At 42.4% G+C, this 26,952-nt stretch overlaps 2 protein-coding genes across 28 annotated transcripts in view; one reads left to right on the top strand and one right to left on the bottom strand.

Moving 5' to 3' along the window:
• IGFL2 (IGF like family member 2) overlaps positions 1-4,583 on the bottom strand; it is a 136,850-nt gene extending 132,267 nt beyond the window's left edge. For 16 of the 22 annotated variants that reach the window (XR_007066608.1, XR_007066610.1, XR_002958257.2 and 13 more), the window contains exon 1: positions 3,009-3,964. The gene's annotated coding sequence lies outside the window, so the exon portion shown is untranslated. Of the gene's footprint in view, positions 1-3,008 lie in introns of all 22 variants that reach the window. The other 6 variants (XR_007066605.1, XR_935743.3, XR_001753605.1 and 3 more) reach the window with 1 other exon arrangement.
• Positions 4,584-5,466: 883 nt separating this feature from the next.
• Positions 5,467-26,952, top strand: part of IGFL4 (IGF like family member 4) — a 38,448-nt gene continuing 16,962 nt past the window's right edge. For 5 of the 6 annotated variants that reach the window (NR_169756.1, NR_163177.1, NR_163175.1 and 2 more), the window contains exons 1-2: positions 5,467-6,076; positions 22,803-22,911. The gene's annotated coding sequence lies outside the window, so the exon portion shown is untranslated. Of the gene's footprint in view, positions 6,077-22,802; positions 22,912-24,946; positions 25,424-26,952 lie in introns of those variants that run through there. The other variant, NR_169757.1, reaches the window with a different exon arrangement.

Genomic DNA, 26,952 nt, shown 5'->3' with positions numbered 1-26,952 from the left:
TATCTTATGTAACAAGAATTATGAGCTACCGTGCGTCCAGGGTTTCAGTTCTAGGAATTTAAACACATAGGACAGTTGCCAATAAAATGCACTGAATCCAAATGCCCCAAAAGAGAAAATGTCATGTTTATCGGAGGTTTTCTTTCTGGAGATGTCACCCATGGTTATGTAATTGTGCAAGTCCTTCTTAGCCATCCCACACCCAGGGGAAAATTACCACCTACTAAGAGGACAAAAGAGATTCCTATGCAGTTTGTCAAGGAGAGCTACCCATATGACTAACTGACTACATCAGAGAGTTACATCTATAGGCTCATCAGCTGTCCCACATTTTGTCAAAATAACGTTCCTATCAAAAATGAAGACACGACTTCAGCCCAGAAGATCAAGGCTGCAGTGAGCCATGACTGCACCACTGCGCTCCAGCTGCGTGACAGAGTGGAGTGTCTTCAAAAAAAAAAAAAAATGGAGACACAGTTAACAGTTCAGGGAGCCAGAAGTCCCTGCTTCTACCCTCTCTCTTACAGGGCGGCTTGATCCCACTTATCTTGGTTGTGTACAATATGCCTGTCTGTATCAGCTCCGCATTTCTCCTCAATGTGTCTTCCCTCTCTTCAGTGGCACACAAGCAAGTTCAGAGGTTTAGTATGCACTGAACTAGGAAACCAGCCAAGTTTACCTCCACCCTGTGGGGATCAAGAGAATTACAGTCTCTCTAAAGAGAAACACCTTGCCCCAAAAGGCTACCCTCTTTTGCCTTCCAGTTCTCCCCTTATACTTGTAGACAGTTAAACTTCTCTCCCACCTAGGAACCCAGGAGAGTTTAACTGTCTTAATAATGATAGTAGTAATAGTAAATACATCTTCATGGACCCAGGTATGGGGAAACAGAAAAGGAAAGTAACAGTAATTTGAACTGAAGAGAAGATGGTGTGAAAACTAGACTCCTGAAAGCATGACTGGCCTGCTAACCAAGGACATGAATAGTACTAACAAGGAATTTCCTCATTAAAGAGTGAAAGAATGAAACAGCCAATGTAGAAGTGTATACTCTGCTAAAATAGCCTTCAAAATGAAAGTGAGGATTCTCCCATTTCTAGCCATGATGGTGTTAACTGAAACTAGACTAGCTCTCTTGACATTAACAACTATAAAACTGCACACAGAATAAAGTATATGAAGCCACTGTGTTTAGGTACCAGACAACAGGTAGCACAAGACTGCAATTCCACAAGGGATGGACATTTACAGGGTGAGCCCTTAGATAAACAAGTTGTCAAAGAACAATTTCCCAAGTGCAATGCAGATAGCTGGGATCTGAGCACAGGACAGCAGTTCTGCAGCACTGAGGGCATTCAGGGCAGCTGGTGAGCCTGGAGTCTCTGAGGTATGGTATCAAAGAAGAACTGTGCAGAGGTAAGCACCACATGTCCTTGTGGAGTCTTCCCCAAATTCCTGGCTGAGGGCTAGGCTGCATATACACAGACAAGACTATCTGTCTGATAAGACAAGGCTTATCAGACAGGTAAGGCTTAAGGAAGAACTATCCTAGAATAGAGGAGAGTAAGGAAACACAATAACGAATTGCAACACTGAATTCTGGATTGCATCCTAGACCAGAAAGCGGACACGAGTGGGACAACTGATGAAACTCAAATAAGGTCTGCAGATCAGTTAATAGTATTATGTCAGTATTAGTTTTCTGGTTTCAATAATTTTATTAAGGCTATGCAACATTAGAGGAAGCTGAGTGAAAAAGACAAATTCACCATACTGTTTTTGCAACTTCTTTGTAAGTCTAAAATTATTTTAAAGTAATAAGTTAGACAATATTTTAAATGTTACATATAAAAACGCAATCACGATAATGAACACTTCCTAAAGATGCAATCAGGGTGCCTTCACATGCTCCCTCACACCTGAAATAAGCGTTATGTATCTAAGGCTCCCCTGACCTTTGGTGTGGCCTGGTTTAGCCAGTCCAAACCAGATGCAGATAGTTGTGTGGGAAGCCTGGCGACACAGACAGTTGCACTATCACCCACAAGATAACTGGCCAATTGTGGGCTGGGTTTAAAAGGTGGGCTGATGATCCCCAGTGCGTGATGAGCATGGCAGTAAAAGCACAGGGAGATCAGGTTCCCGTCCATCAATGGGAAGCCTGCGCTACAGTGTCCACCTGGACAGGAAGTGATGGACACAGTCCTGAAAGCACAGCAGGCACTGCTCCCACTCACCAATGGGCAGCCTGCCCGGAGAGTCAGCCCTGGACATCAAGGCTGGAATTCCCTTTCTGGCTCAGCAAAATTACCACAGACCAAACCACAGACACCACAGAACTCCTTTTCCTAGTCAACACTGTCTGACTCTTTCCTGACAGAAGTCTGAAACCAAGACCACCAACAGGGACAGGGCCACACATCTCAACACTGACACCACACCCCCTTGACACTCACAATGCTTAAGTCCTGAATCAGAAGATCTCAACCTCTTTTTGGAAAGTTATTTCTTTAACTCATGATTTACACAGATACAAAGACTTGGTCAGAAGGACCAAAATACTTTCTGAAATTAGAAACAAAATTATTATAACATTCAAATAGAATCATTCCCATGAACAAGCCATGACTCACAGAATTTAATTACTAAGTAGCTGTCGTTTTCACACCTCTTTCCTTTTAAATTTATTCTTTTTTTTATTTTAAAAAATAAATAGAGATGGGATCTCCCTAAGTTGACTCGCTATGTTGATGAGAATGGTCTCAAACTCCTGGCCTCAAGTGATTCTCCCATCTTGGCCTCCCAAAGTGCTGGAATTACAGGCAGGAGCCACGGCTCGCAGCTTAAATGTATTCTGCAGTGCTAGTTCTTCCCCTGCCCCAGGATAAAAGTTAGGTCAAATCCCATTAATTTTTTGGTCATTTTATTTAATAAATATCTGCCCGTGACTCATTTAAAATGGCTTTAAGTATGTAAAAGTGAAAACGACAATCTTTATTTAAACTTACATTTTCACTGTCTCTTCCAGCTCTGACCTGCAGTCAGGTGGTAGCCTGAACTCGAGGAAGGGATGTGGCCCTCTGACGCACGTTTTCCAACTTATCACGGTTAAGAATCTTCCTCCATTTGCTGACTTAGTTTCTGAATCTACTGTGTTTAGGGCTCAAGGAGAGACGCCAGGGAGCAATAGGGTTCTTCCTTGATGGGCAGCATTGTAGTGATCTAAAATTGACACTGTTCTGAGTTTGCAAATACTTGAAACTGACTCTTTCCTTGAGGGAAGGCTTTTTTGGCTTCTATGCAGAAATCTGTCATCTGAGCTTCCTTTGATGAGGGCAATTTCATCTGGAGTCGCTTTGGATATTTACAACCCTCATCCACCATGAAAAGTTTCTGACTCAAATCCAGGCTGCAATCGAGCTGGCAGAAGTGGTGCAGACTATGATGTAGCTAAAGCAGATGAGTACCTGCCATTCAGGTACAGGCGACGTACAGGCGTTTCCAAAGCGCCTGAGGCCTGGAAACTCGGGTGGCTGGCTGGGGGATCATGGCCAGGGGCAAAGAACTTCTGAGCCCGTGTGACTTGGGTCTCATTCGGGCTATAGGGGTGCAAACAGGCTCCAATCCGCGAGGAGGATGCACTAAAGTGACCCGCTTAGGCTGCAAAACCAGGTGCACCATGGTACGCACGACTCGCTGAGCTCCATTTTCTAGGCGGGGAACTCTTGAGGCCTGACGCCCACGAGGGGAGCGGCAGCGACTTGACGCACCTCCTGGGCAGCCAAAACAAACCATTGCAGAGGATTCTTGTCCCACCCAACGAGCAGCCCCAGCCATGAACTCTGCAGCATCCCAATTGTCCAGAACGCCCGAAACTGGCAATGACTACTGACACCAAGGCAGTTACTGCGACGAAAACATGGCGGCCAAAGCCGCCTCACCCATCGCCTGCGCGATGTCTACTGACGACGCCTGCGCGATGTCTACTGACGACGCCTGCGCGATGTCTACTGACGACGCCTGCGCGATGTCTACTGACGACGCCTGCGCGATGTCTACTGACGACGCCTGCGCGATGTCTACTGACGACGCCTGCGCGATGTCTACTGACGACGCCTGCGCGATGTCTACTGACGACGCCTGCGCGATGTCTACTGACGACGCCTGCGCGATGTCTACTGACGACGCCTGCGCGATGTCTACTGACGACGCCTGCGCGATGTCTACTGACGACGCCTGCGCGATGTCTACTGACGACGCCTGCGCGATGTCTACTGACGACGCCTGCGCACTGCAAGGTGGGCGCCGCTCTCCATTTTCTGAGCAGTCTCCTACTGCCATCTAGTGTTGACTACTGGGATATCGGCTCAAATACCCCCAGAGAGAGTGCGTCACAGGCCTTTTGACGGACTGTGGTGAATTGATACATAGCTATGTTTGATGCATTTTAAAGTGAGCCTTGACTCCACACTTGAATGCTGTTATAACCCCTACAAAAAATAATGGACAAAAAAGACCAATGGGTTAGGGAGTGAAGGCCTTTAGGTAATACAGGAGCAGGTGGTTAGTAGCCAGCTCCATTGTATCAAAATACCTCATTTTGTTTATCCATTCATCTGTCGATGGACCCTTGGGTTATTTCCATCTTTCGGCTACTATAAATAATGCTGATATGAACATTGATGTCAAATATCTTTTTGCGTCCCTATTTCAATTGTGTGGAGTACATACCTACTATTGGGATTGCTGGGTCGTATATTAATTAATTCTATATTTACCTTTTTGAGAAACTCCCATTGTTTTCCACAGCAGCTGAACCATTTTACATTACCACCAGCAATGCACAACACCTGTTAATTTCTCCGCATCTTTACCCACACCTGTTAATTTCTGTTTTTTTGTTAATAGCCATGCTAGTTGGAGTGAAGTACTATCTCCATGTTATTTTGATTTGCATTTCCCTAATGATCAATGATGTTGCGCATCTTTTCATGTAATTATTGGCCATTTATGTATTTTATTTAGAGAAATGTCTATTCAAATCCTTCTCTTGTCTCTTAAATGAGTTATTTGTTCCCGTTGTTGAGTTCAGGAGTTATTTATATATTCTGGATATTAATCTCTTATCAGAAATACGATTTTTAAACATTCTCTCCATTCTGGGGGTTGTCTTTTCCAATTACTTTTTATATGGGTTATGTGATTTAATCACAGTGTCAAAGGCACGTTTAGCGTGCACCCACCATAGCACTGTATGACTTTTATAGGCTCTCGAAACATCTATCCTGCGACCCCTGCAGGCAAGAAGATAGAGAGGGTACTCCAGCCGGTATCCCCGTATTCCTCCCTAGATGGCAGTAGGAGACTGCTCAGAGAAGAGAGCGGCGGATTCCGCAGTGGAGCGCTCCCGCAGGCGCTCCCGCGGGCGCCTCCAGCAGAGCTCGCGCAGGGGCGCACGGGGGCGGCAGTGTAAGTAGTCGCCATGTTTCTGTCGCTATCACTTTCTTGGGGGTGTCACTGATCACTGGCTATTGCGACTACCAGACGCTCTGGACACTTGGAACGCTCCTGAGTTTGCGGCTGGGTCCACTTCCTGAATGATACTAGGATCCCCGCCTCTGGTTTCTTTTGGCTGCCCCCGAGCTACCTCAGTCTTTTTCAATGTCAGGCGGTCCAAGTTCCCTGTGGTGAAAATGGAGCCCAGTGAGTCGTGCCCATGGCAGCGCACCTGGTTTTGCAGCCTGGGCAGGTCACAGGTGCATCTTCCACGGGGATTTGAGCCAGCGTGCACCCCCATAGCGCGACTGAGATTCCAAGTCACACCCAGGTTTTGGCCTCGCAAATCCGCCTCTGCTCCCAGCTGGCACCTGAGTATGCAGGTCGCAGCCCGCGATTTAGAAACACCGGCACCCGGGTGAACGCCCACGGCTCCTCAGCTTTCGCTGCACCGACGTCTGCACCACGCCCGTCAAGCTCAGCTGCATCCTGACTCTGGGTTGGAAACTTCGTGGTGGATGATGCCTGTAACTACCCAGATGAAATCAAGACGCAACAGCCCTCATCGAGGGATGCTCAGGTGAGAGATCCTCAGCATTTGTGTCTCTAAAGAAGCCAAAGGGGGCCTTTGAGGTAATCCGCTTTACATATTTGAAAAGCCCATGGATAATCACAATAACGTTAGGAATCTCACACCCTCTTTGTGCTTCCAGCACCAAAAGAACAGAAGCTAGGTCAGTGAACAGGGAAGACGCATAGGTAGAAGTGCCGGGCAGCCAGGAAAGATAGAGTGAAACGTATCTTTAAATCAAGAGTTTTGTTTTCACTTTTACATATTTCTGGGCATTTTAAGTTGACAACACCAGGATATTTATTATTTATATTTATTATAAATAATGTATTTATATTTATTATAAATAATGTATTTATAATAAAACTAAATAATATATTTATATTTACTAAATAAAACTAACCGGGAAAATGTATACAATTTGACCTAAACTTTTAGGATCAAGGAAGAACTAGAACCACGGAATAAATTTAAAAGGAAAGAAGTGTAAAAAAGGACTGCACAGTCCTTGGAGAAATGGCACATTCTAGATCTGGAACAGAAAATATACACGATGAATCTGGAACATCTTGTGCCAGAAAATAAGGAAGTGCTGAAAATAACAATTACAATAATGATATAACCCCACATTGATCACAATATGTCAAAGGGGCACAAGGGCCAACAGAAGAGCTCCCAGTGGCCAAAGCTGGAACAATTTGAGCAAGAAATGAATTCGGTGGTATTGGGTTATGACCCTACTGTGGTCTGAATTTTTGTGTCCCTCCAAGATTCACGTTGAAACTTAATCCTCAATGCAACAGTGTTAAGAGGTAGGTTTATAGGAGATGATTAGGTCACGAAGGCTCCTCCCTCATGAGTGGGATTAGTGCCCATATAAAAGTGCTGGAGGAAGTCTGTTCTTGTTTCCCCTTTCTGCCATGTGAAGATACAGTGAAAGATGTCATCTTTGAAGCAGAGAGCAGCCCTCACCAAACACTGACTCTGCAGGTGTTTGAAAGTTTGGACTTTCAAACTTCCGGAAACTGTGAGAGATAAATTTTTGTTGTTTATAAATTACCCAGTCTAAGGTATTTTGTTATAGCAGCAGGAATGGACTAAGATAAACCCAAAGTTTAAAATAAATACTCATGAGTTCCTACTGGTATAAATAAATGATTGAATAAATAAGTGGGGAGAAGAGACAAATCTCTAATACAGAAGAATTCGAAGTAATATATATAAATACAGCACCATCAAGGAAGGAAAGCCCAACTCCTCACTTTTTAAAATGCAGGCTGCAAATAATGACCTGGCTCCAAAGAGTTCAATGTGGAAAGGGGAGAAAAAGAGTAACTTTACGCTGGAGAAAAATACCACATCAGCCAGGTAATCGGTGTCATAATCATCAATGATAAATCATGTTGACAGTATCTCCTTGATAGGATGTGATAGAAATGGTACTTTACCTCTGTTATCTTGCTCCCCAAAACCAATAATGTCAGTCTAATCATTAGAGGGAAAAATCACACAAATTCCAGTAGGGATATTCTACAACCTTACCAGTGCCCTTCAGACCCTGGTAAGGATCTGAAGCATCTTGTGCCAGAAAATAAGCAAGTTCCTTACCAGTACTGCTCATAACTGTGAAGGTCATCAAAAACAAGGAAAAATCTGAGAAACTGTCACAGTCAAGAGGAGGCTAAAGAGACAGGACAACTAAATGCAATGTGTCCTGAATAGGATTCTGGAACAGAAAGAGAACATCTGGTGAAAATGAAGAAAACCTAGATAAACTATGGACTTTAGTTACTAACGGGGTATAAATATCCTTTCATTAATTATAATAAAATACTAATGTAAGAAGCTAAAAATAGGGGAAGCTGGTTTCAAGGTATTTGGAAGCTTTTTATACTAGCTTCTTAATTTTTCTGTAAATCTAATGCTGTTCTAAAAATAAATTATTCTTTAAACTATTGAAAACTCTAAGTGGTAGGTTTAAGATAGCCACAAATTCTTTCTGTTCTTCCCATTGAAAGGTGGAATTGAATCCCTTCCTCTTCAATCTGGGCTTACCTTGTGACTTCCTTGACCAGTAGAATGTGGTGAAAGTGTCTTGATTTCCATGTCAGGGACATGATTTTCATCAGCTTCTTGGAATACTTGCATGCGGAGCTTGGCTTCTGTAATGGTTAATACTGACTGTCAACTCGATTGGATTGAAGGATGCAAAGTATTGATGCTAGGTGTGCCTGTGAAGGTATTGCCAAAGAAGATTAACATTTGGGTCAGTGGGTTGGGAAAGGCAGACCCGATGTTAATCTGGGTGGGCACCATCTAATCAGCTGCCAGCTTGGCTAGAATAGAAAGCAGACAGAAAAATGTGAAAAGACTAGACTGTCTCAGCCTCCCAGCCTACATCTTTCCCTCATGCTGGATGCTTCCTGCCCTCAAACATCGGACTCCAAGTTCTCAAATATCAGACTCCAAGTTCTTCAGCTTTGGGACTCGGACTGGCTTCCTTGCTCCTCAGCTTGCAAACAGCCTATTGTGGGACCTTGTGATCCTGTGAGTTAATACTATTTAATAAACTCCCATATGTGTATATATACATACACATATATACATATGTAGATATACATACATTAATTATAATAAGTATACATATACATATATGGGAGTTTATTAAGTAGTGTTAACTCACACGATCACAAGGTCCCACAATAATAAGATATATATATGTGTGTGTGTATATATATATATGTATATATATATCTCCTGCTCGTTCTGTCCCTCTAGACAACCCTGACTAATACAGATTTCTTGGGAGGAAGCCCAAGTAGCCCTGTGGAGGCACTAATATGAAGAGGAACTAAGACCCCCCTAGCCAATTCCCTGAACTGAGCTCCCAAATGACACCCAGCACCAGTTTCTCAAGCACATAAATGAGCCATTCTGGAAGCAAATCCTCCAGGCTCAGTCAGGCCATCGTAGCTAACACTGTGCGAAGGAGAAATGAGCCTTCCCCACTGAGACATTCCCAAGTAATGTATTAGAGAAGGAAAGAAATGTTGATTTTTTAAGCTACTAAGAAAGGAAAGAATATGCCTTGTAATTATGTGCCATCAATCAAGTTTTTCAGCAAAATCATTTTATGTGTTACAATAATTTGGCTTCTCATTACAAAAAAATACTTTCAGTCATTCTGACCATTCTATCTTTAAAGACTTCCAGTGTCCAGAAAAGAAGTTGAGATTGTGAGTCTATAATCCAGGATTGAGGATCCTGACTGTAGAAGAGAATGTGATGTCAGAGTGTTGAGATATTTGCCAAGTTCTCGAGAATGATCCCAGAATGATTCTCTGTCAGGGAAGTTCCAGGCAGCATGGACTGGGTGGAAGAGTGCTGTTACTCTTGTGTTAGCAGAGACTGTGCCAGTTCAGTCTCTGGCCATTTTTCTGGGCCACATAGGGTGTGGTAACTTTGTCTCCCTTTGGTTACGGGACCGCATCCATCACACAGAGGGCCTAGACCTGGTGCAGCACCTGGCTGGTTATCTTGTGGGTGATAGTGTTATTCTGCTAGGGCCCCAAGGCTTCCTATGAAACTACATGTGTATGAGTCAGACATTATACCCCAGGCTAGAAATAGCTCAAGGGAGCTCCAGTTACATAATATTAAGGAAAGAAGGAACTCTAATTGCAATTACAAGAATAAGGAGGCCTATTAGGGCATCCTGATCATATCTTTAGTGAGTGTTCACTATCACTATCATGATAGTATTTTGTAGGTATCATTTAAAATACTTTTTAACCTGCCATTTTGAAATAATTTTAGATTTACAAGAATGTTGTAAAGCCAGTACAGAGTTTTGATCTTTCACCCAACTTCGTCTAATGTTAACATCTTAAATGATCCTAATACAATTATTGAAAGTAGGAAATGAATGTTGAATCTACAGGCTTTATTTTAGTTTTGTTGGTAGTCCCCTCCTGTCCACTTCCTGCTCCAGGATCCAATCCAGAATCCCACATTACTTTTGATAATGTCTCCTTTGTGCTCTCCCAACTGGGATAGTGCTTTGTGTTTTCTTGAGTCTGTATTTCTCTATTTGGTATCCATTAACTACGGGGTTTAACTCATGGCCAAAGGTATCTGCATCTCCCCCGAGATCCAGAGCCCCCGCTCTGAACCATCTCCTTTATCTCTCTTACACACCAAGCCAACATTTTCTCTGCCCTAAGTCAACCCAGGGCCAGGTACCAGACAACTAGAGGCTGCCACTATATTTCACACCCTGCCAATATTATTCAAACTGACCAGTTGTGAGCTGCATCTCCTGCCCTGTTCTGCCTTTCCCACAGAACACATCATAAGGGCTCTGGCCTAGGTTTTTGCTCACTCCTGCCTCTGTCTCCTGATCACACCTGGGGCTTCCCCACATGCCCCTGCTTCACATTCTGTGCCTCTAATTTCTACCGAAACTGTGAGTGACATTAAACATATTTCAATGGCATTGGCATCTCCCTGTCATTACCTCCATTGATTAAAATCCCATGGGTATAAATGAGACAAATACTTCTTAAGACTTACCTCTCTGCTAAGCTTTGGGTGGTCTAGAATGTGCATGTGCAGACCAGTCTTCATCCAGGAACTTTGGTGGACCCCACGTGGATTTGGGGGGCTCGCACTTCTTCACTGATGCCACACCTAAGGGATTCCAGTTCCATCAAGCCATCCAGAACCTTAGTTCTGCGGAACTGCTGTGCTATACTCAGATCCTTGCTACTTGCACTTCCGTTGGGAAACTGTCCCCAGGCAGAGTCCAAATATCCAGGTGTTCACTCTGTGACTTTACTTTCAGAGATTGATATTTTATCCTGTCTTCGTTCACCACCTGAAAACAGTGGCCTCATTTGGTTCATCCAGTTTTACTGTTGTCAATAGCAGGAAAAGTAGTCTCGTTGAAGTCACTGCCCTTAATGGCTGTAAGTTGGAGAATCCTCAGCTTCATTTTTTTCTGTTTTGAGACAGGGTCTCACTCTGTAGCCCAGGCTAGAATGCAGTGGTGTCATCTCAGCTCACTGCAACCTCTGCCTTCCAAGTTCAAGCCATCCTCCCACCTCAGACTCCCGAGTAGCTGGGACTACAGGCATGTGCCACCATGCCTGGCTAATTTTTTATTTTGTAGAGATGGAGTTTCACCATGTTGCCCAGGAGTTGCTGGTCTCAAACTCCTGGACTCATGTGATCCACCTGTCTTGGCCTCTCAAAGTGTTGGGATTACGGGCGTGAGCCACCGTGCCCAACCTCCTTACCATTTTTGAAGGCTATTTTAGAAAGGTCTTTGTTGGCTGTTATTTTCTTTTACCTCTGTAAAAATATTATTCCACCACTTGAACTTATGAATTCATTCTGCTGGTGTCCATGATCAGCAGACCAGGCTTACAGTTTCAGGAGTCGTGGTTTCACACTACCTCCTGTCTAATGCAAGTCACTACTGTCTTTGTCTTACACCTCCCCATCCCCACTTCAATGAAGATTATTTATTTGGTTCCAGGACCACACCCATTTATTCGTGTGTTTATGTTTATTTGATATGAAACTTCTCCAGATCCCTGGATGGGAGAGAAGCAGAACCAACTAGTGATACTAGTGATATAAGAGGAGTACTGGAAACCAGAAAGAGGGTGGCCTTTCAGGGAAGAGTATTGTGCTTGCAGAGAGGCTGTGTCTTCTCCTTACCCCCAACATAGTCAAGGGAGAGGCAAATAAGACTTGTGTCCTCATTCAGTGCATACTGAGCCCCTGAACTTTGCTGACTTGCTGGTGTGCCGCTGGCGTGAGGGAAAGCACATTGAGGAGGTTGGCTGAGCTGATACACATAGGCAGAGAAAAAAAGAAAAAAAAAAAAACAGGATCATGTCTTTTGAGTTCCTGATTCCTGAGAGTCATGGAAGGTGAATCCCATGCAGGCAAACAAACGCCATCTTGGGATTCTAGAGAGCATCATGAATGGAGGACCGCAGGCTTGTTGGGAGCTGTACTCCACTGGGCAAATATCGCAGACCTCTGGAGAGTATGGTGCCATGCCATCACCTGGGGTCACCTGGTGATTAGGCGATTCAATTTGAGGATGATTAATTTTTCCCCCAAATACAAAACATCGACCAAGAAAAACCCTTCAAAACACTTTGCACACACCCAAAATAGAGTCCAGATGCCCTGATAAGGAGTACTTCAGGCCCACCCATGTAAGAGAGAGGGTGAAGTAGGTACTTCTGGCTCCATGAACTGCCGATGTGCCTCCATGTTTGAGAGGAGCTTTATTTTGACAAAATGTAGGACAGCTGATGAGCCTGTAGATTTGACCCTCTGATGTTGTAAGTGAGGGTGCTTCTCCTTTAAATATCTGTATGGTCATCACTTTTCACCTAAGAGGGGATTGGGCGTTTTGAGCTGGGTGATGGGTAGTTAAGTCAGCAGCTTTCTGGACTCTGCACAATCACACAACCATTAGTAACACCACCAGAAATAAAATTCCTTTTTTTTTTTAGTTATTAAAATACATTTAATGCTTGGTATTGTGAGCATGCAGAAGAAAGAAAATAAGACTACAAAATGAAATAAGGGCTAGAATTTAAAGCCAATGTAAAGGAAATGTTCTAAATTGTGCAAGTGATTAACAGCCAGATGTTCCCCTATGATTCCGAACATGAGTCTCCAGTGCCAAGTTCCAGCCCGAAGTCTGTTGGACTCTCAGAGAAAATGTATAGTAACAAAAGCAGCCAAGACTTGCATGACGTCAGCTCTTATTTCTCCTTGAGTTTTTGTCCCGTGGATGTGAATCACTAAGAACACATGCATTCCTCAAGTTTTAGGAGATAAGGCAAAAAAAAAAAAATCTTAGAGATTTGCTTCAATTCGTATTTGAGCTTCATGGGATGCAAACATAGGAGACTAAAGCAGAAATGAGTATTGCTTCAGTAATCATGAGTCCACCCAGCTTAGTGAACAAAACAAGCGTTACCCTCCTAACCTTCCTGATAACAGGAATGTCTTGTTTGAAGTGTTTGGAGTCAGTGCATTTTACTGGCTGCCATTCAAAATATGTTTCAATTCTTAAAACTGAAACCCTGAACCTGTTCATTCATGTTTATTGCTTTAGTCTAATCTATTGTTTAGATTTTTCCCTATGCATATGGCTCAGAGCATCTTACACAATTTGCTTCAGAATTTTCACATCTATTGCTGTTGACTAAACACTCTAATTAAAGTGCCCAAATATGTACATACAAGAATATTTGTTGCAGAATTTTTAGGGTAAGGCTGAAATATTGCAAACAACCTACATAATTTTCAAAAAGAAGACAAATGAAATAAATTACAATTTATCCATAAAATAGAAATCTAGGCAGCCATGAGAATTATCTGTGATCTGTGGGCTTTTAGGGCTTCAAGGGGGGGATGTATGATATCTTATTTATAAGAAGGGAAAAGTGTGGCATATATGTAGACTTATATGTATTCAACTATACAGAATTTATGGAAAAATACAAACACTACATCTTAAATGCAGTTACCTTTGGGGAGGGTAGGAAGCATGATAAAAATTATCAATGCTCACCATGTAATCTTTACTTCTCAGACTGAACATTTTCATTAGAATACATTTGTTTCTTATCTGTATTATTATTTTAGGTGATATTTGAAAATTGAGTGAGAAAAGTCAGTCAGATGAGAGAGAAGAATACAGAGGGTAGGAAGAGACAGAGCAAATGACCTCAGCAACACAGAATCCAGATGGAGAGAAAATTGGGGGAAAGAGGTGGAAGATTTTGCTCATGGCATTGGCAGTGCCTGGCCTCTGAGGTGGGCTCTAGAACAAAGTCCTCCACTCCCTCTCATGTCTGGGGACATTCAACCATGTGAAAAGGTTTTCCAGGGAGGCATTTTCTCTGACCACCTGTTCTATACAGTACTGATAGGACAGCTTTCCCACGTACTGCCAGCAGCCCCGATCCAGAACTCAGCACTGCCCCTCCAGTCAGAATCAGAGGACCGAGGGGAAACATGCTCTCCTGTCCCTAATCACAAATGAAACTGTCTTTAGCATGAAGATATTCACTTGGTGAGAACTTAAGTCAACTGGACAAAGAGATGTAGGTCTCCAGTGCTCAGAGTGAATGTGTCTTTTGCAAAATCCCGAATGTGATTGCCCTGAGGCTGACATGGGGCCAGAAATGCCTGAGTCATCTCTACCTCTTCCTCTATGAAACCACATAATTGCCTCAGACTGAGCTCCCAATGCATTTAATTGTTTTGATCAAAGTCTTTCCCGGCGGTTCCTCAGAAGGAAGGATTGGGCCTGGAGGCCTACCCAGGGAGGGAGTCAGAGGCCGCCCACAGATGAACAATTCTATCTGTGTGTGCACCACCCTCCTACCAGACTTTGAAACCCTTCAACAAACAAGGGCTTTGGGATCCCCAAAATGAATCCCAAGCCCCTGGTTACAGAATCAACAAAGCGGGATGACAAATAAGGGAAAAGTTCAAATCTGGTAAACGTATCCCACAATTTGCAAGCAAAAAAATTGAGAACTATTTTTTTCAATTCCGCACACAATTAAGCATCATGTTTGCATTCAGTCTTGTTTTATGTTGGATTCCATCATGATGAGATTCGACACTCAGAGCTCGAGGTCTTTAATATCTTAATGTACCCTGTATCCCAGGACCTCAGATTACTGTCTAAGCCACTGCAAGGAAACATCAGCTCTGTCTGCCCTGGTGGGTCTTTCTTCATCTGGAGAGATAAAGAGATTGTTTAAGATTTGTGTTCAGAGACACATGGTGACACATGGTGGCGGAATTGGTTGAAGAGCATCTGTGACAAAAGGTGGAGAGATGGAGAACAGAGCAGGGTCCCCTCTTGGGAGGACCCAGTTATTGAAATTCCTTTTCTGCTGCTCTCTCCCCGCTTCAGCCTGGAGCATGGCAGGGATTCCTACCTGGATCCTTCTTTGATTATGGGGGAAGGTGCAGTCAGAGTTCACACCTGAAACCTTTTGACTCAAAGTCTTTTGATCCAAGGGACCAAAGAATGTTTGTCATCATTGCTGGAAGTGGAGCATAGGAGCAGGTGAATCCACACCTGGGTAAATGGCACTAGGGCTTACTCATGGGCTTATCCATGGAGCAGTTCTCCATGATGTCACAGATCTGGTTTCCACACCTGGGGGCTGGCTGACTGACTCTTTCCTGAGGGATAGATCAGATGTGGGTCCCAGAGAGAAACAAACCTGGCTGCCAACCTGGGGCCCTGTCAGAGCCCCATCCTGCAACCCCACAAATTCCTCCTCCATTCTGCTTGTTCATCACTCTTTCCTCACCTGAAACTCACTCTGAGCCTGAGCACACGTGGATGAGGATGCAGACAAGCCCCTGTGGGAAACGAATGGGGTCGGCAATGAGACTTATGTGCAGTCATCTGTTTCCTGCCTGGGGAATTTTCTAGGCTAGCTTTTGTTCTGGCTAAAGCTCAGCATTACTTTGGGGCTAATTCTTCTGGGATCAGGCTCATCGGGGTAGGGGCACTATTCCTGGGAGCTGGTCTTGGGCTCTCTGGAACCCAGGAAGGTGAAGGCATGCAAGGAAGCTCATAAAAGAGCCAAGATGAGAATCCAGGGAAGGGAGTGAGCTTCCTGGATGGGTGGAGGGCAAACTGGGACTGAGGTGCCACAGAGGCAATGAGGAAAACAGCGAGGGCCTGGGCTGAAAGCGGATGTCCAGATAGTAGTGTTAGGTATAGGCAAAGGTGGATATGCTGGGGCTGGGGTTGGAATTGAGATTGGGATCATCCTTACTAAAGGTTTGGCTTCTGTTTGCTGTGGCTTTGAAGCAGGCACAAGGAGAGTGGATGGGAGAGTGTCAGAGGATCTGAAATGGGGACTACGATTGAAGCTTGAAGCCCCTGTGAGCCTCTGGGAGGTTCTTTTATTGACCACAGCAAGATTGCAGAGTTCCCACTCCCAAATCTCTCCAGTGAGAACCAGATTGGACATGAGGACATGCCCTTGGCTGAAGGAGAGGAGCTGAGATGGTTTTAGGAGTACGATTGGGTGAACATAATTCATGCTTACTTGCTCTTAAATGTTTTCATTCCTCAACTTTAAATTTAAATGGTTGATATAGGTTGAATGTCCTCTCCAAATCTCATGTTGAAATATAATCACCAGTATTGGAGGTGGGGCCTGGCAGGAGGTGTTTGGGTCATGGGGAAGATCCCTCATAGCTTGGTGCTGTCCTCACAATAGTGGGTTCTTGCAAGATCTGGTCATTTAAAAATGTGTGACACTTCCTCTCAGTCTCATTCCCACTCTAGCCATGTGACATGCTTGCTCCTGCTTCACATTCTGCCATGAGTAACAGGTCACTGAGGCCTCACCAGAAGCCAACCAGATGCCAGCACCATGCTTCCTATATAGCCTGAAGAAGCATGAGCCAAATAAGCGTCTTTTCTCTGTAAATTACCTAGCCTTGGGTATTTCCTTATAGCAATGCAAAAGTGGCTTAATACACTGGTCCCTGAAGAAGTATTGGTACTTCTTTGGCTTTGAGTCTGCAGGAAAGTAGAGAGAGCTTTCATGGATGCTGGGAGTTGGGTGTTCCTAGTTATGGTTGCCAGTTTAGCAAATAAAAACATAAGAATGCCCACTTAAATTTGACATTCAGATAATTTAAACATTTTAGTATGTTTTGGGTAACACTTGGGACATACTTACACTAAATATTTCTTTGTTGCTCATCTGAAATTCAAACTTAACTAGAAGTCTTGTATTTTATCTGGCAGCTGGATTCCTTGATATATGGTGTCAAGATGTTTAAAGATCTTTGGCATCAGGCTTTCAAGAAGATGGTAGGTGCTGGCTCCCTGTGGCTTTACAAGCTCACGCTTCACCAGAAATCAAGAGAAAAAATCACCTGGCTGAGAGGGCCATGCTGAGCTAAGTTCCACTTTCAGCCTTAAGGGTCTCTCAGGGGCTACTTTGATGGGATTCTTTGGTTCTCACTTACTTTGCTTCATGGCCGTTTTGACATTCAAACCCACATACCCTCTGCCTGCTCCCAGGATTTTTTTCCAAACTCCTAGCAACTGGTTCCTGGCTGCTTCCATGGATCTTCTGACACATCACATTTTACCCTCTAGAGAGCAGCCCTGAGAAATATATCAATATAGGGCAAGAACTGGAGAGAAACAGATTCTACAGAAAATCCCCTAAGTGAGAAAGAGGCGTAATCATTGTGCTCCACATTTCTGTGGACAATATCCTGGGGCTAAGGCCCGGATTGGAATCTGACTCATTCTTTCTTGGAAAGGCTTTCAGCACATTTGCTTAATATCTGCAGAGGGATCTGTAGCAGCACCCAATAAATAAATGCCAGCCAGGCGCGGTGGCTCAGGCCTGTAATCCTAGCACTTTGGGAGGCCAAGGCAGGCAGATCACAAGGTCAAGAGATTGAGACCAGCCTGGCCAACACGTTGAAACCCCGTCTCTACTAAAAATACAAAAATTAGCTGGGCATGGTGCCATGCACCTGTATTTCCAGCTACTTGGGAGAATCACTTGAACACAGGACGCAGAGGTTGCAGTGAGTGAGATCACGCCGCTGCACTCCAGCCTGGGCGACAGAGCGAGACTCCCTCTCAAAAAAGAAAAGAAAAGAAAAGAAAAGAAAAGCTTCTGCACAGCAAAGGAAACAATCAATGAAGTGAAGAGACAACACACAGAATAAGAAAAATATTTGCAAACCCATATGATGAAAAATTAGTAAAAAAAGAAAAGAAAAGAAAAATTAGTAACCACAATACCTAAGGAGCTCAAACAACTCTATAGGAAAAAAATATAATAATCTGATCAAAAGAATCGGTGAAAGATCTGAATAGACATATATCAAAAGAAGACATACAAATGGCAAACAGGCATATGAAAAGGTGTTCAATATCATTGATCTTCAGAGAAATGCTAATCAAAACTGCAATGAGATATCATCTCACCCCAGTTAAAATGGTTTATATCCTTAAGACAGGCAATAACAAGTGCTGGCAGGGATGTGGAGAAAAGGGAACCCTCATACACTGTTGGTAGGAATGTAAATTAATGCAACCTCTGTGGAAAACGGTTTGAAGATTCCTCAAAAAACTAAAAATAGAGCTACCATATGATCCTACTGCTGGATATATACCCAAAAGAAAGGAAGTTAATATATTGAAGAGATACCTGCACTTCCATATTTGTTGTAGCACTGTTCATAATAGCCAAAATTTGGAAACAACCTAAGTATCTATGGGGTACTTACACAAAATGGAGTACTATTTAGTCATAAAAAGGAATGAGATCCTGCCATTTGCAACAACATGGATAGAACTGGCGGTCATACCAAGTGAAATAAGCCAGACACAGAAAGACAAACATCACCTGTTCTCACTTATTTGTGGGATCTAAAAATCAAAACAATTGAACTCATGGAGATAGAGATTAGAAGGATGGTTACTGGAGGCTGGAAAGGGTATGGGTAGGGGGCGTGGTTAATGGGAAAGTGTATTGAGGGTAGGAGGGATGGTTAATGGGTACAAAAATATAATAAATGAATAAGATCTAGTATTTGATAGCATAGCAGAGTGACTATAGTCAATAATAATTTAATTCTACATTTTTAAATAACCAAGAGTGTAATTGGATTATTTGTAACACAAAGGATAAATGCTTGAGGAGATGGAAACCCCACTTACATGATTATTATGCATTGCATGCTTGTATTAAAACATCTCATGTACCCCATAAATATATACACCTACTATGTACCCACAAATATTAAAATTAAGAATAAATATTTTGGCTTTTCTAGGTCCTGTAACAAGAATCAGCATGTAAACTTCCAGGAAGAAAAAAGCTGTTGGAATTTTTTTTTTTTTTTCAGGTGGAGTCTCGTTCTGTCACCCAGGCTGGAGTACAGTGGTGCTATCTTGGCTCACTGCAACTTCCGCCTCCCGGGTTCAAGCGATTCTCCTGTCTCAGCCTCCCAAGTAGCTGGGATTACAGGCACGTGCCACTATGCCTGCCTACAGACTTTGATTTTGATTGCACCAAATCTATACCTCATTTAAGGAGAATCACTTATTAAAGATATTAAGAAATCCAATCCATGAGCATGGAATAGCTCTGTTTATTTCAAAATTCTTGAATTTATTGCAGCAATGTTTTGTAACTGTCAGTGTTAAGATCTTGTACACTTTTATTAGATTTATTCCCAAGTATGGGTCTTTCCTGACCCATCTTATTTAATTGAATTTGGTTTACTTCCACTCAGTGCCTCAATTTGGCTATTGATGTTGAAGTCAATAAATATGGAGCATCTCCTCTGCGCAGGGCTCTGTGCTAGATGCAGAGTGTATGGCAAGACATTTCTATTGTAGTGCAGGACATGAAATGGACATTGAAAGGATAATTATTGAAATACCATCTCTTTTAAAGTGCATGTAGGGAAAGTAAAGATTTCAAATGGGAGTTGATAAAAGGGAACCTTGACAAAATCTGGGGAGTGAGTGAGTGAATGCTTCTGAGGAAGTGCTCTTTGAACTGAGTTAGTGATGACATAAAAGAGGACAGAGGGATCGTGTATGTGTGTGTGTGTGTGTGTGTGTGTGTGTGTGCATGCGTGTGTGTTCTAAATGTTCTTTTGAATAGAGAAAAGGGAGGCTTTGGTGATAGCTCTGGAGGGCATCTGTAATGATTGCAATGAATTTAAATAATAGAGTAAGTGCCCCATCACTCCGTGCCAATTCAGGGTTTATATTCACTTTGCTGAACTACTAGCTCCAAGCTCTTTCTACCACAATAAAAATAATCATACATGAGTAAAGGTCGTTCTTAATTAAAGGCAAGGACGCTTGACCGAACTTGGGTTCAAGGCCCATCTTAGGCAGATTAGAATCCTTCCTAAGACTTAAGAGGATGGAGGCCCCTCTCAGTAAAGTCCCTCTCTATGTGCTAAGAACAGGTTTGGCACTACAGGATGTTAAGTGCTATTCTCTTTGGATTAATCTGCCTTGCACTCTTTGCTGATGGCTGTGGGTGACAGGATTAGGCATGTACAGGATCATGGGACAATAGGACATGGGGAACTTTTCTTCTCCCCAAAGGGGGAAACTTGAGAGCTGATGGGACTGCTGGAAAAGATTCCTTCGCAACCAAGAAGGGGCGGCCTAAACTTTTGATTCAGTGTGGCTGCAATGGGTGAGTCTTTCTCTGGCCTCCCTGAGTTCTTTGCCTTCCCTACCCTGCCACAGGCAATGCTTTTCTCCCTTTCTCTCCTTTCTCTTTTCTCTCTTTTCTGTTACTCAGGACAACTGTCTGCTCCTTCATCTTGCCCAGAGACCACATGTTGAAAGATGTCCTTGGGAGCTTAACCTTGTAACGATGTGGCAGTACTTTCTCCTGGCTCTACCTTCCAGGGAACATGAATTTAGGGGTTCATATCACAGTTAACTCTAAAAACTATCTTGAGCACTTAAAAGCCTGTGCAAGCTCAAAATTGGCTGCTCTAGGCTCCTTCTGGGAAAAGCAGCAGAAACTGCTCAGTGCTGTAGCTCAGTAGGTAAGGCTGTGCCATTCTCCAATGGTGTCCTGGGTTCAATCCTGGCTTAGGGAATCAGTGCTTTCTGGTTTATATCTGTGTGACCTTCATCATTTGTTGATTCTTTTCCCCTCCACCAACCATCTTGAATTTTCCTTTCTCGGAGCATTTGGAAGGTTTTCCTTTGGTAAAGTTCAAAAGCCAGAAATATTGGCAGTTTGGCCTGGCTAAAGTTGGGTAATAAGAAATTTTAAAGGATTTTTTAAGAGCACTATGGTTAAAAGTCAGCTTTTTCAAGCTCTAGCATCATGGAACTCCTTGGGAAAAACAGGAAGTGCTACAGACCACGTTTTGGGAAAAACCTGTTTTCCTCATGAAACCCTAGGAATTAAAAGTGGATAGATTCCTCTCAAAATCGAAGACTCTGTTCTGTTTCGCATTGTGTTATGTGATGGTTTTGATTTGGGGGAATATCAGAAATTACTTTGCATTATGAGAGAACTCTGGTGTGTAATAACTAGATAGGAAATATACTTTGGTAAATAACTAATGGCAGTGGTTTGGGAATATATGGCGCTTTGCTTTTTCTTGGAACAGAAAAGCATGCTCTTGACCACCTAAAAAGTATGGAAATGCCCTTTCCCCCCACCCAGACATAAGACTCCTATGGGGGATGGGTTAATCACAGAATGGGCTGATTGACTTTGGGTTGCCTAGCAATTAAATGCATGGTAAAATTATTGTACTGTCTTGTTCTATAGCATTTCTTTTGGGGATCCAGGACCTGGTGTAAAAATGAGGCCCTTAATTTTTGGGGATCTGTTTTTGCCTTCCAGCTGTGCCTGCTTGTTAGGCTGTAGAAACTGCATGCTTTCCTGGCCCTGTTCCTCCAAAGGCTCCACCCTGCCAGTAATCCAATTAACAAACTGGCAAATGAACAATCTTACAACTACTGGATCTTCTTCTGTCTGTCTGTGTATTTACATGTGTTGTGTGTAATGTTTATATAAAAGAGCTTTAATTAATTGGTTTAAAAATAATAAGAGCTTATATCAAATATTTTCTCAGAAAAACAAAAACTATAATGCCTTTTAGTTCATGTGACTTATGTAATCTTCAGGAAAAAAAGTTTTACATGCAAGGTGTGTAAAAAAGTGAAATGTGTTTTTGGTAAAAGATTATAAGAAGGCATGGGAATGTGGATTGTTTTTGCCTAGATTAAAGGGTTGAAGGATTGTTTTAAGTTTTAAGATAGAATAAAGCTGAAGGTTTAAGCAAGTTATGAAAGGTTTGTGAAAAATTGATCTTGTGAAAGAAATTCTGTGTATGAACATGTTGGCTAAAGTTAAAGGGGTATTACTCAGTTTTTTCCATGAATTGAACATTGGAATAAAAGTACAAAAGGTTTATCTTAGAGCACTGATCTGCTTTTTAAAGAAAATCTGTTAAGGGTTAATAAAAAGTTTACGAGAATCTTACCTTATGGTCAAACTGATTAAGGTTAAATAGATTTGTCTATAAAATTTTATTAAGAATTAGGTTTAACATTAATAGTACACTAATGCAAAGGTGGCATTTGGCTTATTTGATACAAAAATCATACAAGAAACACTGTCAAATATGAAATGATGTTTGGCTTTCTTTGGGCTGTATTTGTGTAAATATGTATTGGTATGTGTTCCCAAATCATGAGAAACTCTTATTATTCTAATATAACTTAGTGTACATTATCAGTAATAATTACAATTGTTATGTTAAATTATTGTGTGCCACAAGGTAACCAAATATCTTTGTCAATCGTATCTTTGACTATGGCTGTCCTAAGACTTTATGTCATCCACAGATCATTGCTTTCTTGTTTTAATCCTCTTCAAAAGGTGGTTTGTAATCAGCTATAGGACTCTAGCAGATATTCTTAAATGCAGGTTTTCTGATAACTTTGGAGATTGTGACATTAGAATACAGGAAAAAACTTTCAGGACTCTCATGGAGAGCTGAAATGTTCATGAATATCAAACAGAACAGAAGTTATCTGTATGGACTGAACTAATAGAGGACTGAGGTGATCTTTTTCGGCTTTTTGCTTAAAATGTTGCGGATCCTTTGTTTTGTTTTTCAGAGTCAAGGAAACTTTTCTTTTGAGCTACTGACAGCTTAACTCCTGTGAACAAAATTTGGAGCATATTTGTTTCTCTCTGCCTGATTTCTCCAAAATTTGGAAACTATTTGTGAGTATTCTTAACTTATAGCAATATAGTTATTTGCATAAGTACAATAAGGATCTGTTTTCTTTTGCAAACAGACACAATTGGAGAAACTGGTGATTTTACCAAAGCTTTGATTGGAATGGTATGTTTTCCTTTAAGGAATCAAACTTGACTTATAAAGCCAATAAAAGCCCCTTGGGAAACCTGGCCTCATGCCTTGTCTACACAGTCCCTGTACAGGGTTCCCGACCTGTGGTAAGTAAAGAATGTCACTTTCTGATTGGCCCAGGAGCCCCAGGTTATCTTGGGACCTCAAGAGGAGAGGAATTTACCCAACTCAGGTATTTGAGGGTGCAAACTCACGGCTGGGCTCAGCTTTTAAAAAGTCTTATCTGAGATTCATTTTATGAAACACAGTTCCATCAAAGTCAATTTTAAAAGCCTCTGTGAAAAATAATTATTATTGCTGCACTTTATACAAATAATTAGGCCAAGTATAATAAAGCAAATTGGTTTTGCCATGATTTGTCTTTAGTAAAAAATGGGAGACTGGAGAGAGAAAAATTATGTTTCAAGAACTATGGTACACCTGTTATTAGATTCTAATCTCATCAGTTGTTTTTGAGGGTTTTCTTCTGCAATTTAGACTGACTGCTTATTCCTGTGAGCCAACCAGTGATCTCTGGTTGCAGTTCAGAATAAACAAGACAGATACCACCTTTTGTCAGAACTCGGAGTTACAAGTGACCCTCACCATAATTATGCTTTCTGAGCTCCTCTCTACCCTGAATACAAGAGACCCTAACAGTTAGGCAGGAAAGCATTGCCCCTATTCAGCCTGAAGAAGTTACAGAATATGGATCTTCATCCTTCCACAACCCTTAGGATTAAGAGTTGCCTTGTAAAAGGGAGGGGGGAAATGTCAGAGACATTTGAATCAGAACAACTCCACCTTGAATAGGGTCTGGGTAAAACAAGGCTGAGAACTGCTGGGTTGCATTCCCAGATGGTTAAGGCATTCTAACTCACCGGATGAGATAGGAGGTCAGAACAAGATACAGCTTATAAAGACCTTGCCGATAAAACAGGTTGTAGTAAGAAAAGCCGGCCAAAACCAAGATAGCAACAAAAGTGACTTCTAATTGTCCTCACTGCTCATTATATGCTAATTACAGTGCATTAGCATGCTAAAAGACACTCCTACCCACACCAAAACAGTTTACAAATTCCATAGCAACATCAGAAAATTACCCTATATAGTCTAAAAAGGGGAGGAACCCCCAGTTCTGGGAATTGCCCACTCTTCCTGGAAAATTCATGAATAATCCACCCCTTGTGATATGATTTGGCTGTGTGTAGCCTAGGGACTTGATATCCTGCATCCCAGTTGCTCTAGCCATGGATAAAAGGGGCCAAGGTACAGCTGGGGCCATGGCTTGAAAGGGTGCAAGCTCCAAGCCTAGGCAGCATCCACATGGTGTTGAGCCTGCGGGTGCACAGAGGTCAAGAATTGAGGTTTGGGAACCTCCGCCTAGATTTCAGAGGATGTAGAGAAATGCCTGGATGTCCAGTCAGAAGTTTGCTTCAGGAACAGCGCCCTCATGGAGAACCTTTGCTAGGGCAATGAAGAAGGGAAATGTGGGCTTGAAACCCCACACAGAGTCCCCACTGAGGCACCGCCTAGTGGGGCTGTGAGGAGAGGGCCAGCGTCCTCCAGACCCCAGAATGGTAGATCCACCAACAGCTTACACTGTGCACCTGGAAGAGCCATAGACACTCAACACCAGGAGTGAAAGCAGCCACAAAGACACAGAGGCAGAGCTGCCCAAGACCATGGGAACCCACCTCTTGCAGCATAACTTGGATGTGAGAAATGGTGTCCATGGAGATAATTTCAGAGCTTTAAGATTTGGCTGCCCTGCTGGATTTCTAACTTGCATGGGGCCTGTAGCCCCTCCATCTTGGCCAGTCTGTCACATTTGGAATGGGTGTATTTACCCGATACCTGTACCCCCATTGTATCTGGGAAGTAACTAAGTTGCTTTTGATTTTACAGGCTCCTAGGTGGAAGGAACTCACCTTGTCTTAAATGAGACTTTGGACTATGGACTTTTAAGTTTATGCTGAAATGAGTTAAGAATTTGGGGGACTGTGGGGAAGGTATGATTGGTTTTAAAATGTGAGAACATGAAATTTGGGAGGGGTTGGGGGCAGAATGATATGGTTTGGCTGTGTCCCTACCCAAATCTCATCTTGAATTGTAGCTCCCATAATTCCCGCCTGTCATGGGAGGGATGCAGTGGGAGGTAATTAAATCATGGGGACGGGTCTTTCCCATGCTGTTCTCATGGTAGTGAATAAATCTCAAGAGTTCTGATGGTTTTATAAATGAGAGTTCCCTTGCACAAGCTCTCTCTTTGCCTGCCACTATGTAAGATGTGGCTTTGCTCCTCCTTGCCTTCCTCCATGATTGTGAGGCCTCCTCAACCAGGTGAAACTGTGAGTCAATTAAACCTCTTTCCTCTATCAATTACCCAGTCTTGAGTGTGTCTTTATTGGCAGCATGAGAGCAGACTAGTATACTTTGTTTATCTTATAATCAAGAAATAACCATAAAAATGGGCAACCAGCAGCCCTTAGGGCTGCTCTGCCTATGGAGTAGCCATTCTTTTATTCCTTCACTTTCTTAATAAACTTGCTTTCACTTTAAAAAATAATAATTATTATTATACATGAATGTTAGCACGGCTGATTTATGGGGAACTAAAATCGTATCCATTGATGTTTCTGGATACAAAAAGTTTCAAATTCCCCTTCACAGCCAACTCAAATCCAGTTATAAACCACAGCTATATTTTGGTGTATTCTTTCCTCAGCCCTGAGGAAAAATGTGGTTAATATTTTTACTCTAAAAATGAGCCTCTCTTGCCCTCTCTAGACTCCTAAGCTTAAGAGTCCACTACCTCCCTGCCCCACAAGAAAAAAACATAAGAAAATAGTAGAAGAAGTATTTCTTATTTTCTATATTTAAGTCTCAAGGTTTTTAATATGTTGAGACTGATTCTTTAACATTTTTAATGGGTACTTATTACTACATAAGTTGAAAGAAAAGTCAAAGTTCTCATATTCAGATGTACTTTTGGTCATTTGTATCAAATCCTTGGAGATCTTCACATATTTTCAAATTTTTCTACCTTATTGTCCAGAAAGGAAGAAAATAACAGCCTTTGGGACTCTGAAGCCTAAGACAAAGAGGGTGCACATGATCAAAAGTGAGTGACTGGGGTGTATAGGGAGAGAAGAGGGTCAGGTCAAAGGTTTCAGGAATTTGTGTCCTCCTTCGGTGAGATCCTACAGGGAGTCTTATGCAAGGAATATGCTGGAGGAATAGCAAGTTGAGAAATGACGTAATGGGCTCCATTTCTGTCTTCTGTGGCTGGGTAGATGTAAAAAGAATTCCAGCTCAAAGGGAGGACTTGCCTGGACGGGCTTGCAGCCCTAAGTGGAAATATTTCATTGCCTTTGATTCCTGACTCCTCCTCGTCTCTCTGTGTATCCATTGTGTATTCATGGGCTGGCAAGCATCCAACAATTCTTGACCACCAGACCTCACCCATGTCAGTATTTTTCCAATTCATCAGGAGGCATCTCCAGAATGTCACAGCAGACACTAAAACTCCAGGGGATCCCTGGATACATAGGGAGCGAGTGGAGGAGATCCTTGCTGGGGCACATTGATGCAGTACAAGATGGAATTGGAGAATAATTGAAATGCCTCTTAATTCCAGTATGAGCCTCCTGAGGTGAACTTCATATAAGGGACTCTAATTAGCTGTCCAATGGAACTTTCGGCAATGATCAGAATGTTCTGTATCTGAGATGTCTAATGTTGTAACCACTAGACAATATGGCAATTGAGCACATGAGATGTGAACAGTGCAGCTGAGGAACTGAATTTTTCATGTTATTTAATTTCAATTAATCTAAAGTTAAACCACATGGTGTAGCACAGCCTTAGTTTAGTTAATATTCCCTATTACTTCTGCAAGTCCTATTGATTGC

This window comes from Homo sapiens, chromosome 19 (assembly GCF_000001405.40).
Source record: "Homo sapiens chromosome 19, GRCh38.p14 Primary Assembly".
NCBI classification, from domain to species: domain Eukaryota; kingdom Metazoa; phylum Chordata; class Mammalia; order Primates; family Hominidae; genus Homo; species Homo sapiens.
The sequence above is the reverse complement of the archived record's forward strand: the minus strand, read 5'-3'. Positions and strand labels throughout refer to the sequence as shown.